The sequence below is a fragment of the Homo sapiens genome, chromosome 8 (assembly GCF_000001405.40).
Source record: "Homo sapiens chromosome 8, GRCh38.p14 Primary Assembly".
NCBI lineage: Eukaryota > Metazoa > Chordata > Mammalia > Primates > Hominidae > Homo > Homo sapiens.
The window spans coordinates 91093769-91110032 of NC_000008.11; the positions used below are offsets into that span (position 1 = coordinate 91093769).

The window sequence follows — 16264 nt, forward strand, 5'->3', positions numbered from 1 at the left end:
CATTTCCATATTTAAAAAGAAAACTAACCAAGAGAAACCCAGTACCCTTCTTTATTACAGGACAGAATTTCCATAGCAGTTTTCAAGTACATGAAGCATCTGATCATGTTTGAAACTTTTACCCCAAGTCTCAGACCACATTTTAAATCACAAAATAAGCTTGCCAAAACAAATCAAGTAAGTGCATTGGTTTCTGCCATAACCTGTGTTTATGAACTCCTGTTTTTTATGCATTTTTCCAACTTCCAAAATTTTTAATTTGTCATGGGCCCTTGTCATATTAAGAATTAGCCAGATTATTTTGTATTATAAAGTGTTAATAAATGAAACAACCCTTCTCTGTTAATAAAATTAATGATTGTTTCAACTTTAGGGTCCTTGAGTTCCTAGGATGCTATATATTTTAGCATTCTTACAGCACTTTATACTTCCAGAATAGTTTGTAATCATTAGTTAGCTGTTTCCCACACAATCTCTGTGGAATAGATTGGCATTCTTTCTTGTTGTTTTACTGATGAGAAGAGAGATAGATACAGGCAATTTGACTGACTTTCTAAATTTACACAATAAGTCAGTAACCGTCTGGATTAACATTCAACTTTAGATTCCTAGTTTTTTGCTGAGTTCACAGGCTGATGCTGTCTCAAAAAGCTGGTGATTTTTTCGATTTGCCTGCCAAATGGATTGATTTCAGGTTGCTGGGAAAGCTCTAGATTCTGACATTCCATGAGGCTAGCCTATACGGCACAGAGATCAGCAACCCTTTCATTTTCAGCTGGTGTCCATAAGGAGTGTGTTTAAGATGCAGGTGAAAACTGAAAAGTTTGAAAGAGCAAACTCCATCTCTTTTTCTGAATCTGTCTTTCCTAGATTCTCAGTGTCTTAATAAACCTAGACCTGTGTCACAGCTGTACCCTGCTAAATATTACACAACTCTCCTCTCTCCACATCCTAAATTGTGGCTTATCTAATGTTCCTACAAAGAGACCAGATTCTAGTCACAGTCTTCCCCAGGTTATACCTATCACTTTATCTCCATCACCTGGAATAGTACAGAAGCCATCCCTGCCTCCAGTCTTATTCCCTTAAACCGTTCTTTTATGCTACTAAAGTGAACTGCCACAAATGCAAATCTGACTACCACTTTCCTGTATCGTTTATGTTTTTGATTTTTATTTTTTGTATATTCTGATGTTTTGACATCTTAAAAAACCTTTCTGGCTGAGGAGGGGGTGCTCCTACTGGGGTTAGTTGGTTCTTAGAGATAGCAAAGGGCAGGTGCAGCCAGGAGCATGGGTTTGATATGCAAACTAACCAGTCCTAAGCCAGACCTCCTCTGTCTGACCCATACACCCCAGGAGACAATATTCCTTTGCTTTAATCATCCTAGGGCCAGGTACTCTGGAACCACCTCTAAATCCCAAAACCCACCAGAATTATTCACACTAGCCAGTCCTAAACTGTTTACCCTTTCCTGCTTTGTATTTTCCACAAGAACTCCAATAAAGGCTCTGGCCTAGACTTTCTTTTTTTTTTTTTTTTTTTTGAGACAGAGTCTTGCTCTGTCGCCTAGGCTGGAGTGCAGTGGTGCAATCTCGGCTCACTGCAAGCTCCCGGGTTCACGCCATTCTCCTGCCTCAGCCTCCTGAGTAGCTGGGACTATGGGCGTCTGCCATCATGTCCAGCTAATTTTTTTGTATTTTTAGTAGAGGCGGGGTTTCACCGTGCTAGCCAAGATGGTCTCGATCTCCTGACCTCGTGATCTGCCCGCCTTGGCCTCCCAAAGTGCCGGGATTACAGGTGTGAGCCACCGCGCCTAGCCCTCTGGCCTAGACTTTCTACCCTTGCTACTCTCTTCTACCTCCTGACAGTCCCCAGTCCTTTCCCACGTGGCCCTGCCTTCTGTTTCTAGGGATTCGAGTATAAATTTCCTTCATAACAATCACTTCTTAATCACTTGATTAAAACAAATTCTGGGTATATTTTAATATACTTTCTAACCTAATCCTTATGATGGCTTCCTATTCCCATAGGATGAAGTCTCCTTATTACGGCATTTAAAAGAGGTCTTTCTTGACAGGTCCTATTTACTCCGCCAGTGTCACCTCCCATCACTCCTTTCTTTAGATATATGCACTAGAATCAATTATTTATACTCCCCATGGTCCTGTGTATTTCATGTCCCTGAACCTTTTCTTCATGCTTTTATTTAAATGCTTTTCCACTTCACATTTATTTCATCATCTGGTTAGCTCTTTTTAATCCGTTATGACTGGACCCAGCAGTCAACAGCAGGAAATTTTCCTTGAACCAACAGATCAGACTCTTTGCCACTTTGTGTACTGTCACTTCTGCTAGATCTTCTCCTTTGGCTTCTCTGGATTTTAGGGAAGGCATAACACTGGGCACAAAAGTAACAACCATATATAGAGGGCTTAACCAGCTCCCATAGTTATATAAGGTCAAATTCCTGTAATAAAACCCATGTTCTATACAATTCCTAATGGTTTGTATTGTTATTATTTTTTATTAAATCTTGATATACAATTTGCTGCTACTAAGCCATGTAGTAGGAGCTTTGGGACTGAGCTTGAGTGTAAGTTAGAAGGGCCTTGAAGAGACTGTTAACAGGAGCCTAATGTCACTTCAGGAAGCTATTGGTGAAGGTTTAAACAAGGTGAGAGATATTATTGGAAGCTGGAAGAAAGGTGACTCTTGTGACATAGTAGCAGAAATTTTAGCAATGCTGGAAATTTATTTTCCATGAAACAGTGGAAAATAAGTATAGCTCAACTGGATGATCTCACTAAAGAGATTTCTAGGCAATGTCAAAGGTGCTATCTGGATTCTTCTAGCCCCTATAGCAAAAGACAAAAGGAGAAAGGCAAGCAAGATAAAAAATTGTTCGATATAAAGGAGCCACAACTTTTTGGGTTTGAAAAATACTTTTTTTCATTCCTAACCTCTCCAGACAGTGAATGATGCCAAAATTAAGCAATCTGTTCCAGACAGAGCCAATCCAGGGAACTCTCAGCAAAATGATGAAGATGAAAAGGCATGGCTATAAAAGGCTTTGTTAAGAACAGGAAGGTTAAATACACTGTGTTACCAACAAACAATAGGGCCCCTAAAAATCTTAATGTCTCACGGCAGTTTCACATGGGAACCCAAGATAGAGGTGGGCCATCTGAAAGAGATTTGTGGGTGTGGTTTGTGTCTGATGGAGTGAATTATAAACTGTTTTAAAAGAAACCCATGAAATTTTTAAAGGATTTGCATCAGGTTGGATTGAGAAGGACGATAAAACGAAAAGATAAACCTTCATGCACTGTTAGTAGGAGTATAAAATGGTGCAGCCACTATGGAAAAGTCTGACAGTGCCTCAAAAGACTAAACATAAAGGTACCGTATGACCCAACAATTCCACCCCTAAGTATATACCCAAGAGAATGAAAACATGTCCACATAAAAAATTGTACACAGATGGTGTTTGTAGCAGCATTATTTGTAATAACCAAAAAGTAGAAACAATGCAAATGCCCATCAGCTGATGAGTGGAAATGTAAACTCTGATGTATTCATACAATGGAATATTATTTGACAATAAAAATAAGTGGAGTGCCAGTACATGCTATAACATGGATAAGCCTTTGTATTAGTCTGTTTTGGCAGTTCTTTAAAGAAATACCTGAGACTGGGTAATTTATAAATAAAAGAGGTTTAATTGGCTCAGAGTTCTGCAGGTTGTAAAGTAAGTGTAGCAGCTTCTGGTTCTGCGGAGGCCTCAGAAAGCTTCCAGTCATGGTGCAAGGCAAAAGAGGAGCAAGGCACATTTCACATGGCTGGAGCAGGAGGGAGTGGGGGGAGGTGCCACCACTTTTAAACAAACAGATTTCACAATAACTCACTATCATGAGGACAGTACCACGAGGGAAATCTGCCCCCATGATCCAATCACCTCTCAACAGGTCCCACCTCCAACACTGGGGATTACAATTTGATATGAGATTTGGGTGGGGACACATATCCAAAGCATCTCAGCCTTGAAAACATGCTAAGTAAAGTAAGCCAGTCACAGAAGTCCACATGTTATATAAATTCATCTATATAAAATCCCCAGAATAGGCAACTCTATACAGATAAAAAGTAGATTTGTAGTGGCCTAGGGTTGGGGTGGATGGGAGGAAAGGAAAGTGATTGTTAAAGGCTTCAGGCTTTCTTTTGGGGATGATGAAAATATTCGAAAATGGATTATGGTGGTAGTTACACAAGTTGGTGAATATCCTAAGGACCATCGACTTGTATACTTTAAATGATTGAATTAATGGTATGTGAATTCTATCTCAATAAAGCTGTTATCAAAAAAGAATTAAAATGAGAGGCCCTTGGCACCTTGAACTTCTATGGACAGGAAGCAGACTGAGGAAACTACTTGGCAAACATGGGCTACATTTTATGGAAAAGGAAAGAAATTCAAGAGGATGGAATCAAGAGCCCAAACGGGAACCAAAAGCTAATCCCAGGCAGTACATGTGGGCTGGGTGCAGTGGCTCACTCCTGTAATCCCAGCACTTTGGGAGGCTGAGGCGGGTGGATCACCTGAGGTCAGGAGTTCAAGACCAGCCTGGCCAACATGGCGAAAGCTTGTCTCTACTAAAAATACAAAAATTAGCCAGGCATGGCGGCACGTTTCTGTAATCTCAGCTACTCGGGAGGCTGAGGCAGGAGAATTGCTTGAACCAGGAGGCGGAGGTTGCAGTGAGCGGAGATTGTGCCACTGCCCTCCAGTCTGGGTGAAAGAGCGAGACTCCATCTCAAAAACAACAAACAAGAAACAAAAATAATGACAACCTTGTGCCTCATTTGATTTCAGAATTGCTATGAACCGGTGGCTACTTTGTTCCTCTGATTTTTCCCTTTTTTTTTTTTTTTTTTTTGAATGGGACTAACTATTGCCTGCCCTTTGTTTTACCTATGTTGTATTCTAGGTATGTGTGGACAGATAACTTGTCTCTTTAGTTGATAGGTCTTCAGGTCAGGATGAACTGCACTCAAGCTGAACTCAAGGAACTGCCTCAGAGGAGCTTCATCTACCTTTGTACCTAACTTTGATGATAAGATCTTTGAACCTGAGGTTCTAAATAGATGAAACTTTTGGGGAAAGGGGCTTTCCAGGAAGAGTGCCTCTGTTTTGCATATGGGAGGAATGTAAACAGCTCATGGCTACAGGGTGGATTGTGGTGGGTTTTAAAACATGTCCACAAATTTTTGGTCACTTGCCTTCAAGAGGCAGAGTCTAATTTGTCTTCCTTTGAATATGAGCTCGTTTCTGTCACTTGGTTCTAATGAATAAAATGTGGTAGAGGTGATTCTGTATGACTTCTGAAGCAAGGTCATGAAAGTAATACAGCTTCCACTCCACTTTCTCTCTTGGGATGCTCAACCTTCAAACCAAGCCACCATGTTGGGAGGGAGTCCAAGCTACATTGGAGAGGCTACATGTAGAGGCTGACCACCCTGAGGCCCTAGCCAACAAGAAGTATCTACCACCAGATGTGGATTAGTGAACCTTTAGATGGTTTCTGCTGCAGACTTTGAGCTGCTATAGCTGTCACTAAGAGAACTATAGGCAAGCCCTGCCCAGATTAAGATTTGTCAATAAAGGCCAGGTGTGGTGGCTCACACCTGTAATCCCAGCACTTTGAGAGGCCGAGGCAGGCGGATCACGAGGTCAGGAGATCAAGACCATCCTGGCTAGCACAGTGAAACCCTGTCTCCTAAAAATACAAAAAATTAGCTGGGTGTGGTGGTGGGTGCCTGTAGTCCCAGCTACTTGGGAGGCTGAGGCAGGAGAATGGCATGAACCTGGGAGGCAGAGTTTGCAGTGAGCTGAGATCACACCACTGCACTCCAGCCTGGGCGACAGAGTGAGACTCTGTCTCAAAAAAAAAAAAAAGATTTGTCAATAAAATAAATGTTTTAGGCCATTAAGATGTGTGGTGGTTTGTTTCCCAGTGATAGATAACTGGAATAGACAGTATGAATAGGATTGATTATATATTGGAAGTAAGGGAGAAGAAAGACTCAAGAATGTTAACCAGGTTTTCTAGGTTCAGCAGATTAACAGAAAGCAGTGTCAGATTGTATTGGTTTGTTTACCTACTTAAAGCAGTAACAAATTTCCAGGGTTTGGACAGTGTCATCTGGGATGCTAGCCACCCGATATTTACTTAAGAGGTGGTGATTGTCATGGATTTTTTTTTTTTAAACAAAGCCTTGTGATCAGTTTGTTTTGATAGTAACAGCTTTATTATTCTTAGGAAACAAATAATATCAAAGTAAAGAAGACGAAGCATAGGTTTGGAAGAGGGAAGGCAAACAGCAGTGATTAAGAAGCTGAAAAATTATCTTTCTAGCAACTGAAAGTCACTATTAGCATCTCTTGATTTACTGTTATGATATTGATATTCATTATAATCCCTTTAAAAATTTAATGATCCTTTTTTAGAATTCTGGCACTTGATTTTACTCTCTTACTGGAAGAGGTCTTGTCTCTAATAGCATTCTCTCAGTGAGGCCTTTCCTGGTCATCCTATTTAAAATTGTAAACTTCTCATTTCCCACACTCCCTATTTCTCTTTTCTGCTTAGATTTTCCCCCTTGGCATCAAATCACCATCTAACATAATAGATTTACTTATCTGATTGCTTTTCTTCCCCTACTAGAATGGAATTTCCTTGAGAACAGAAATTTTTATCTTTTTCATTCACTCCTGCAACAGTGTTGACTATGTAGTAGGTGGTCAGTAAATATTTGTTGAATAAATAAATAAAGTGATTTCTGAATGCCAAAGGAAGGATTGATTTCTGTTCAGATCACTTTCAGTGCAGAATGTATTTTATAATGTTCAAGTTTTTGGAAACCCACATCTAAGTGTGTCACATACATGTGTAATCCTAATGCCTCTAAGACTCATCCTATCTGGGTGCTAGTGGGCTTGTGATAATAATCAAATGTTACTGGCCACAACTCCCCTCCCTCTCCTTTTTGTCACCGTTTAAATCTTTTATTTGGAAATTTTTAAACATATGCAAAAATAACAAGACTAATATAATGAATGCTGATATGGTTTGGATTTGTGTTCCCTCCAAAATCTCATGTTCAATTATAATCCCCAGTGTTGGAGACTGGGCCTGGTGGGAGGTGATTAGATCCTGGGGGTGGAGTTCTCATGAATGCATTAGCATCCTCTCAGTGCTGTTTTCCTGCTAGTGAGTGAGTGAGTTATCCTGAGATCTAGTTGTTTATGTGTGTAGCACCTCCTTCCTATCTTCCTCCAGCTCTGGCCATGTGAAGTGCTGGCTCTCCCTTTGCCTTCCACCATTATTGTAGGCTTCCTTAGGGCTCCCCAGAAGCTGAGCAGATGCCAGCACCATGCTTCCTGTATAGCCTGCAGAACTGTGAGCCAATTAACCCTCTTTTCTTTATAAATTACCTAGTCTCAGGTATTTATAGCAGTGCGAGAATGGACAAATACAAACCCCTATGTGTCTATTACTCAGCATTAATAATTATCAACATTTTGTCAATCTTGTTTGATCAGTTTCTTCCACCCACTTTCCCCCCTAGATTATTTTTAAAAAAACTCAAGATATCATTTTATTTCACTTGAAAATTTCAGTATGCATTTCTGAATGTTAAGCACATTTAAAATAAATACTACCACCATACCATTTTCACATGTAACAGAATTAATTTCTCTCATCTAATAGCCGATGAACAAATTTCCCTGAGATGTTTGTATTCAACTGAGGATTCAAATACAGTCCAGACATTGCATTTAGCTGTTATTTGCCCTAAGTTTCACTTACATCGTAACAGTTTTCCCTCCTTTTTATTAATGTCTTTCATTTGTTGGTGAAACCTTGTGACATTGGACCAGGGACCAGTCCTGTAGAATCTTCCATGTTATAGATTTGACTGTTTCCCTATAATGAACTTAACTTATTCTCTAGTTCTGTTTTTTTGTAAATGGTAGTTAGATCTTGAAGCCATGATTAGATTCAGATTTAATTTTTGGACAGGAACATTTCATAGGTGGTGCTGCTGTGTACTTTTTAATTCATTACTTCATAAGGCTTATAATGTGATTGTCTCAATTTTATTGATGCTAAAATGATTAGTGGGTTATTAACCTGATCACTTGATTATAAAGTTCCTCATCAACCTTTCATCTAATACTTTCAGTCTCCAATTATGATTTTTGCATAGCTCCATTATTTTATTAGAATTTGCAAAAATTGTGATTATTCTAGTTATTTTGTCTTTCTCATTTATTAGTTTCAATTCTTGTGAATAAGAACTTTATTAACTATTAAGTTATATTTAAGTGCAGTTTGTACTGGAAAAGCAGAATAAATGCTTATATTTTTTCCTTTATCAATTTTCAGACTGAGTTGGTGCGCTAGTAATTCCCAGGGTGAGTAATGTTTCTTTTTAAAAAATGCCATTATGAACTCAGATTTTAATGTGTTTTGATATGTTTCAGTCTATTCTAGATTATTTCTTTCTGATCCTTAATATTTTCCATCTTAGACTAGTGGGAGCTCCTAGAAGTTCACTTCTGTGTCCTCATTAATCTCTGATAGCTTTAATATCGCAGGCATAAGCTATTTTAGGCTTACATTATACATTTCCTGCCCCAAACCTGGACCATCTACTTTCCTTTCGTATCTTTCACATAGGAAAATAATCTAATGCTTCCCCCCTTCAACATGGTGGATCTCAGAATGTTCTTGTTTCTATGACACACCAATTCTGTAATTAGAGGTTCTAAAGCTGTATAATAAAGAACTCTAATGGTTACCTTGTTTTCTACTTCTTTTCCAAGATCATGACTGAGAGATTGTTAATAAAAGCATTGAGTGGTGGTAAAAATACGAAGATCATTACTTTGAATGGGAAGAAGATGACAAAGATGCCCTCAGCATTAGGAAAACTGCCTGGCCTGAAGACTCTAGTCCTTCAGAATAACCTAATCCCCAAAGTGTGTCCAGAGTTATGCAACTTGACCCAGGTGAGGAACAGTGTTTTGCTGTTGTGGTTTGGTATTGAAGATGGAAAACAGGAAGAGAGAAAAAAGGGGTAAGAGACAGAACAATAACACTTCGATCTATGGAGACTTAGGTATCTGGAGACTTAATGTGGAGTGTTGCTGGAGAGGCATCAGAAGGCTTTCTCCCTTAGGGAATTCCATGTGGTAGGGAGAGATGTTTCAATTTATTCATGTGCTCTTTGGCCCACATCTGGAGTCAGGGGACTAGGTCTCTGCCACACTCATCTTTTTAGAGGCTGTCATCTGGAAAGGGGTTGGAAACCTGGATCTGGTCGTCTATCTTGGGGGCTTACATCTGGAAGTAGTTTTGAGGATCCAGGAGATGCTGTTCACCCTGGGGACTGTCCTGAAGCTTTTGCATTTAGAATGAAGAGACATTTAGGATGCAGCAAGGGAGTTCCTTTTCAATTTCCTAGGGCAGGCTGAAACTTTGAAATGGAGTGTTGGCAGGGAATAGGAAGGAGGGGACATTTATTTCTCCTGAAATAGTCTTTAAAGGAAGTTTAATATTTTAAATAAAAAATATTCTTTTTTAAAGAGGAATAGTTGACATGAATGAATCCCATATGCTTGTGTTAAACCTTTCTGCCTAACAATGTGAAACTCTAGCTGCCAAAAATCTTGAGGTTGAGAGAAGGCAAGGGATATTAACTTTGTAATTTTCTTTTTGTTCACTGCTGAATTGTCATCAGCACAGGAAGAACCTAGAAGCAGCTAAGGCGTTATAGCTCATTAATTTTGAATTTACAGTTCCAAAAAATAAATCTGTATTTTCTTACTTTCACCCTACCTCATTTCCTTTTACGTTTAAGAAATTGAGTTTGTAATCTGTAGTTGTATCTTTATAAGAAATAGGGTAACTTTTACAAAGTCCCCCTTCATTAGTAATTGCAGAAGGTATACTTGTAGTTACAAGACAACAAGGACTTGGAATTTTTTAATAGGAAAGAGGAGTTTCTTTGCAAAAGAATTTGGGACTTGACTGAGTCATGAACCTATTCTCTCCCTCTATTTGAATTTATTTCCATTAAAGTAGTACTAACCATTGGTTACCGAGAATTAAATATTACAAAAAGCTTATAGCAAGAAGCTATCTTCTATCCCACTTCCCCTCATCCTCAATCCCGATCTCCATATATAACCACTTTTAACTCATCTATTTTATTGATTTGTCTATTTTTGGCATCATTTTTCTTCATCTTCTAGATACAGTTATATTAATGTATCTATTGTGTATTGATCCACATCTGGAATCAGGGGATTAGGTCTACAGGTATCTTTTACATGTAATGTTACTACACCTTTATTTCTTCCTTCATCAACTGCAGTCTCTTTTGACTCCCCACTTCGTAAGATGACAGTGTCAGCCTTTGTAATCCACCTTCAGCTGTCCTTTCCTCTCCCCCCTCACAAACTCTGAAGTTTTTACTTTTATAACACTTACAGCTTTTATATCCTATTCAGTTATAACCATAATTAAATATTTGTTTTGTGTCTTGGGTAACTCTAAACTTCTAAAAATATATATTACTAATAAATAAATATTCACATGGAGTCAATTAATCTATGATTATATTTTCTTTCTTATATGCCATTTTTGTTCCCTTGGAGTTTCTAATAACCTTTCCTTTGTTCTTGTGCCTTAGTTTTATGGTAGCCTCATTTTATTTCAAACTGTATAATTTTTTTCTGTCAAATGTACTTTTCCTTGAGAGACTTCCCTCTAAGACCCTCCATCCTCTGCCCCACTCTATGTTGACTGCTATCTAGGTTTGCTAGATACTGTCAGCCAAGGACATTCCCTTTGTTGCTCTCTTAAATTGGACCCACTGTTTCCTGTATCCTGTATTTTCCTTTCTTGGCTTGCTCTCTTAGTTTTTCAGGAGTCTCGAGAAATCATCCTAGTCTGGGTATGTGGTAGTTAAATTGTTTGATCCCTTGCATATCTGAAAATTTCTGTATTCTTGTCTCACACTTGGTTAATAGTTGTTTAGTAAAAAGTTACACATTCCAAGATATATTTCCATAGGAAAAAGCCCCAAGAGTCTGATTATCATTACATTGTCTTCTTCTTGTGGCTCCCTTTGTTACTTGCCCTCTCATTCTTCTATTTAGGGGTAACCTACGTGTTGACTTCTGTTTGTTCACTCTTAGTTCCTTCACCAGGGAGCTGTCTCAGCCCAGTGCTTACTTTTAAAGAAGAAATTACACCACTAAGAATTCAACTGATTTGCAACTAGGCTGCTTATAGTCTATTCTGTCTTTAAAGTACTTTAAAAGTCAGATTCAGGCCAATGGTATTATGTTTAGCTGTTCATGAACTAGTAGTTTTTCTTATATAGGGTCTTGGAGAAATTGTGGAATTTTGGAAAAAAAAACACAATTTTCCCTATGTAATGGGAGTTCTAGAAGCATGCTAGATAAAATGTGCTAGAAACCCTCAAAGAATGGTTGTAGATTATCATAGAGTTCAGATATACAGCTCCATCCGTCTCACAGTTGGTAGTAAAGGGCAGATGGCCCGGTGCAGTGGCTCACACCTGTAATCCCAGCAGTATGGGAGGCCAAGGTGGGCAGATTGATTGGGCTCAGTAGTTTGAAACTGGCCTGGGCAACATAGTGAGACCTCATCTCTACAAAAAAATAAAAATTAGCCAGGCACAGTGGCACGTGCCTCTGGTCCCAGAGGATTGCCTGAGCCCGGAATGTGGGAGGTTGCAGTGAGCTGAGATTGCACCACTGCACTCCAGCCTGGGCTGCAGAGTGATTCTGTCTCAAAAAAAAAAAAAAAAAAGGAAAGGCAGATGAAGGTTTCAAAGAAAGAGACAGCTTAGAGAATTGAAAAGGAGAGTTTAGAAGTGCTGGCACAACTTAACTGGTTCAGCAGTTACCAGCTATATACAAGGCACTTAGTTTCTTTGGGCCTCAATTTCTGCCTTCATTTATTTAATCCACAAATAAGCAATGAGGACCATCTGTGTCTCAGGCACTCAGAACTGGTGATTCAGTGATGAGCAAAACAGGTGGAAATCTCTGCCCTCATAGAGTTTATGTTTTAGTCAGGAATGATGTAAGAAACAAATAAGCAAAATAGGGCGTGAGGCGGTGATTAGTGTTAAGGGGAAAAATAAAGCAGAGAGAAGGGGCAGGGTGTATTGTGACATTCAGCTGACCTGACTGATGCCACAGAGTGTCTCTTGTGGGCTTTATAACTTGGTGATGTGTATGTCAAAATTCAGTGATTATAATTCTTATTCTAACAGTTTTCTCTAAAATTCCCGTGTACTTTTAAAGTTAATTTGAACTCTTTCTTATGTGGCTATAGTCATACCGTTTATCAGTAATGTTTAAAGCTACCCATCTACCTATGACTTTTGTTTCATTTTGTTTTATGTCTACAGTGTTTATCTTTTGAAGTAGCCTTTTATCATCATATGAAGTCCAGTTTGCCCCAATATACTGATTTTTTGGTCATATTTCCCACAGAATGCAAAGTATTAACATAGTCTTGATTTGTTTTTAAGTTCCTAAAACAAAAACACTACTTTTAAATTTCTGTACTCATAAAATGCTAATAGAATAACAACATCAACCATTCACTGGGAGCCAAGCATAGTATCAGGAGCTCATCATTTTCTACAACTTGCAAGGAAGTTATTACCCTCATACTGTTAATAAAATTTATGGTTCAGGAAGAGGTTAAATCATTTGTCAAAGGTCACTCAACCAGTAAATATAAAATGAGGTCTCCTTGGAGGTTGCTTTCGGCTCTATTGTATTATTATTCTATATATTTAGTGTGAAATTTATCAGGGTATGGTGTTCAATTTATAGTTCTTAAAAACTGAGTTGCCTAAAGACGGCTGCTCTGAACACTACATGCATTGTCCTCTCCTCCCATTTGTTTGCATATTTTTTTTTCTTTTAAGAGACAGGTCCTGCTCTGTCACCCAAGCTGGAGTGTACTGGTGTGATCATAGCTCACTGCAGGCTCGAACTCCTGTGCTCAAGTGATCCTCCTACTTCAGCTTCCCAAGTAGTTGGGGCTACAGGCGTGTGCCACTACCCCTGGCTAATTAAAAAAATTTTTTTTTTTTGTTTGGAGACCGGGTCTCACTTTGTCACCCAGGCTGGTCTTGAACTCCTGGCTTCAAGCAATCCTCCCACCTCAGCCTCCCAAAGTGCTGGGATTACATGTGTAAGCCACCCCACCTAGCCCATAGTGATTCTTGTATTATTATTATTATTATTGTTATTATTATTATTTTTGAGACAGAGTCTTGCTCTGTCACCCAGGCTGGAGTGCAGTGGCGTGATCTCGGCTCACTGCAACCTCCGCCTCCCAGGTTCAAGTGATTTTCCTTCCTCAGCCTCCCGAGTGGCTGGGATTACAGGCACCTGCCACCATGCCTGGCTAATTTTTTTTGTATTTTTAGTAGAGACGGGGTTTCGCCATGTTAGCCAGGCTGGTCTTGAACTCCTGACCTCAGATGATCTGCCCACTTGGCCTCCCAAAGTGCTGGGATTACAGGCATGAGCCACCACGCCCGGCCCATAGTGATTCTTTTAACAAATATTTACCATTCATTTTCTTGCATCTATGCTGTTCCCAAGGATATAGATGTGTACAAAGTGTGGTCCCTGCCTTCATGTTTGGTGATTAAATTAAATGTTTATATATTTAAAGCTCCATGGCTGGCATGTAGAAGCTTTAAATACAGTTTAGCTATTATGATTAGTGTTACCATTATGATATGACTAGCAACAATGATAAAATGAGGGGGTAGGGGTTCTTTAGTAAAGAACCTACTTTAGATCCTACTTCCATTTTTCTTTGCTAATTTAACTAGTGAAGCTCTGGAAAATTTCAGTCACTTCTAATGACAATGAACAAAATGGGTTAATGTCCTATAATTTATGGTGAATGCATTTGGACTGTGGCTCTTGAAATATGGGGATGTCAACAATTTTCAGAGAAGCACTTTATGAATTTTAAGGGCAAAGATCTTGTCTCATCCCTATTGCTTTTTACTTACTAACTCATATAATGTCAACATGAGTGAAATGGAAGTAATTTTCAAAGTCCTGCCTAACCAAACACACGTAGGAACAAAGGTTCCTCACAGGTAAAACAAATAGCCATCATCTCTAATTGTGTGCAGCATTGTTGACATGTATCATAAAGTCCAACGGCAGTGTGGCAAAGTTCCCCTTAAGCTGCTCACATGTGCAGCTGACCAGGACAAAGATATGGTCTGCCATAGCTTTTTATTTGGCCATAAACAATTGACAGTAAATAAGACCAACTCTAACCAGATTTGAGTAGTTTATAAACTTACTAATTGTGTCCTTAATCTCTCCTTTTCATACTTTTGCTGTCCTTAATGACCCTTTAACCCAATCAACTTCATTCATTCATACATTAAACAACTAGTTATGTGTGTCTGCAGTGGAGTAGGCACTCTCCTAGGTGGCAGCAGTACAAAAAGGAACAAAATCATTCATATGTCCCTAATAGGTTTAGTGGGGAAAGTTAATGAAACATACAAATAAGTGTATTATTACAATTGTGAAATATTACACTCGTGATGTAGGAGAATTGTGAAAAGTGCTGTAAAGGAGAATTGTGTTGTACTATGAGTCTCTAGTCAGACAAGTCTTGTGCTATGAGAGTCTCTAGTCAGAGAAGTCAGAGAAGGTGATTGTGAAAACGTGCAACTGAGTTAAGATCTAAAGCAAGCTTGTCTAACCCGTGGCCCGCGGGCCACATGCGGCCCAGGACGGCTTTGAATGTGGCCCAACTCAAATTCATAAATGTTTCTAAAATATTATGAGATGTTTTTGTTATTTATTTATTTATTTTTAAGCTCATCAGCTATCATTAGTATTAGTGTATTTCATGTGTGGCCCAAGATAATTCTTCTTCCAATGTGGCCCAGGGAAGCCAAAGAATTGGACATCCCTGATAAAGAAAAAATTATGCAGAGGAAGAGGAAAGGAATGACCATGAGCAGAGACTTCCCGTAACTCTTCCTCCTTGGGCATTCTGGTCTCACTTTCTAACCCAAGCAGAACAGAGAAGATCCATGTCATTTATACTGTTTGTCAGCATCAAGCCTTTCTCTTCTCCTGTTCCATCCACTGAAAATCTCTTCTTTCTCCATCAATTAGGTAATGCCTCCTATTTCCTAAGCCTGGCTATCAAAACAGGGATTCATTATCCTGTTTTGTTGTGTCCTGTCCTGGTACAAGGGCACATAGTACCTTCTCTCCAGGAACCGTTCATGTCTCCTTTGCCTCTGCTTTCATGCCAAGGCATATATTAAGGTCTCTTGAACCCCTGCTGGAAATGCAGCTTCTCTCTCTGCTGGCAGGTGTCTAGAAAAGACACAGCCCTCTTCTTTCCTTCACTAGTGATGTGGAAAAACTGATATACTCTATCTGTAGACCTGCCTTGACTCATCTGAAAAGTGGGCCTCGTCATTCTTAGCTCCTAAAGTTGCCATCACTGTTATCTACCTAATATAGGATGCCTTATCCATATTGTTTACATAGAAAATTTTAGCCGAACCTTCAAACTTCCAAACACTTAAGATTTTACATTTTAATTGAATGTCATTTTAATTGAATGTTAAAATTTTACATTTTAATTGAATTCTAATAATTTGAAACTCTTGTCCTTCCTTCTTATTCTTTCCTTATGAAGCTTTTGATGGCATATTAAAAGGCAATGGCTTGATAATCTTTTTATGTTAATGCCAGTAGAGAATCCTTCTTATATTTCTTGACATTGAGCTTAACTTTGGGATTTAAGGGGCCAGCAGTAAGAGGTTGTGGGATCTCCATGAAATATCTAGAGATGAGATAACATGCTGGCCATGGAAACTTCCCCTCAATTTCTAGTGAAATTATAATTGTTTTGAGAAATATGACTTTGTTAGGAAGTTACTGCAAAATTAAATAGTAGCTTTGAAATTGGCAGTTATTCATATAAATAAATTCCTTCAGGAAGAGCTGGATTCAGAAGCAGTTTGGCAGTTGTATTAAACAGCGGTTTTAAGGATGCCACAGATTTCTTTAAAAAAAGGCATTGATAAGAATTAGCAGATTGAACCATAAATTGAACCTCCTTCCATACGTTGGCCATAC

The 16264-nt window shown here is 38.9% G+C and overlaps 1 protein-coding gene across 3 annotated transcripts in view; it reads left to right on the plus strand.

Annotated features, from left to right (window-relative positions):
• Window positions 1-8850: 8850 nt before the first annotated feature.
• The window catches only part of LRRC69 (leucine rich repeat containing 69), a 116639-nt gene continuing 109225 nt past the window's right edge, over window positions 8851-16264 (plus strand). For all 3 annotated transcript variants that reach the window (NR_148895.2, NM_001129890.2, NM_001354470.2), the window contains exon 1: window positions 8851-9076. Coding sequence is in view for 2 of the 3 variants with exons in the window: in NM_001129890.2 (NP_001123362.1) it covers window positions 8894-9076 (183 nt within the window). In the remaining variant the exon portion in view is untranslated. The remainder of the gene's footprint in view (window positions 9077-16264) is intronic.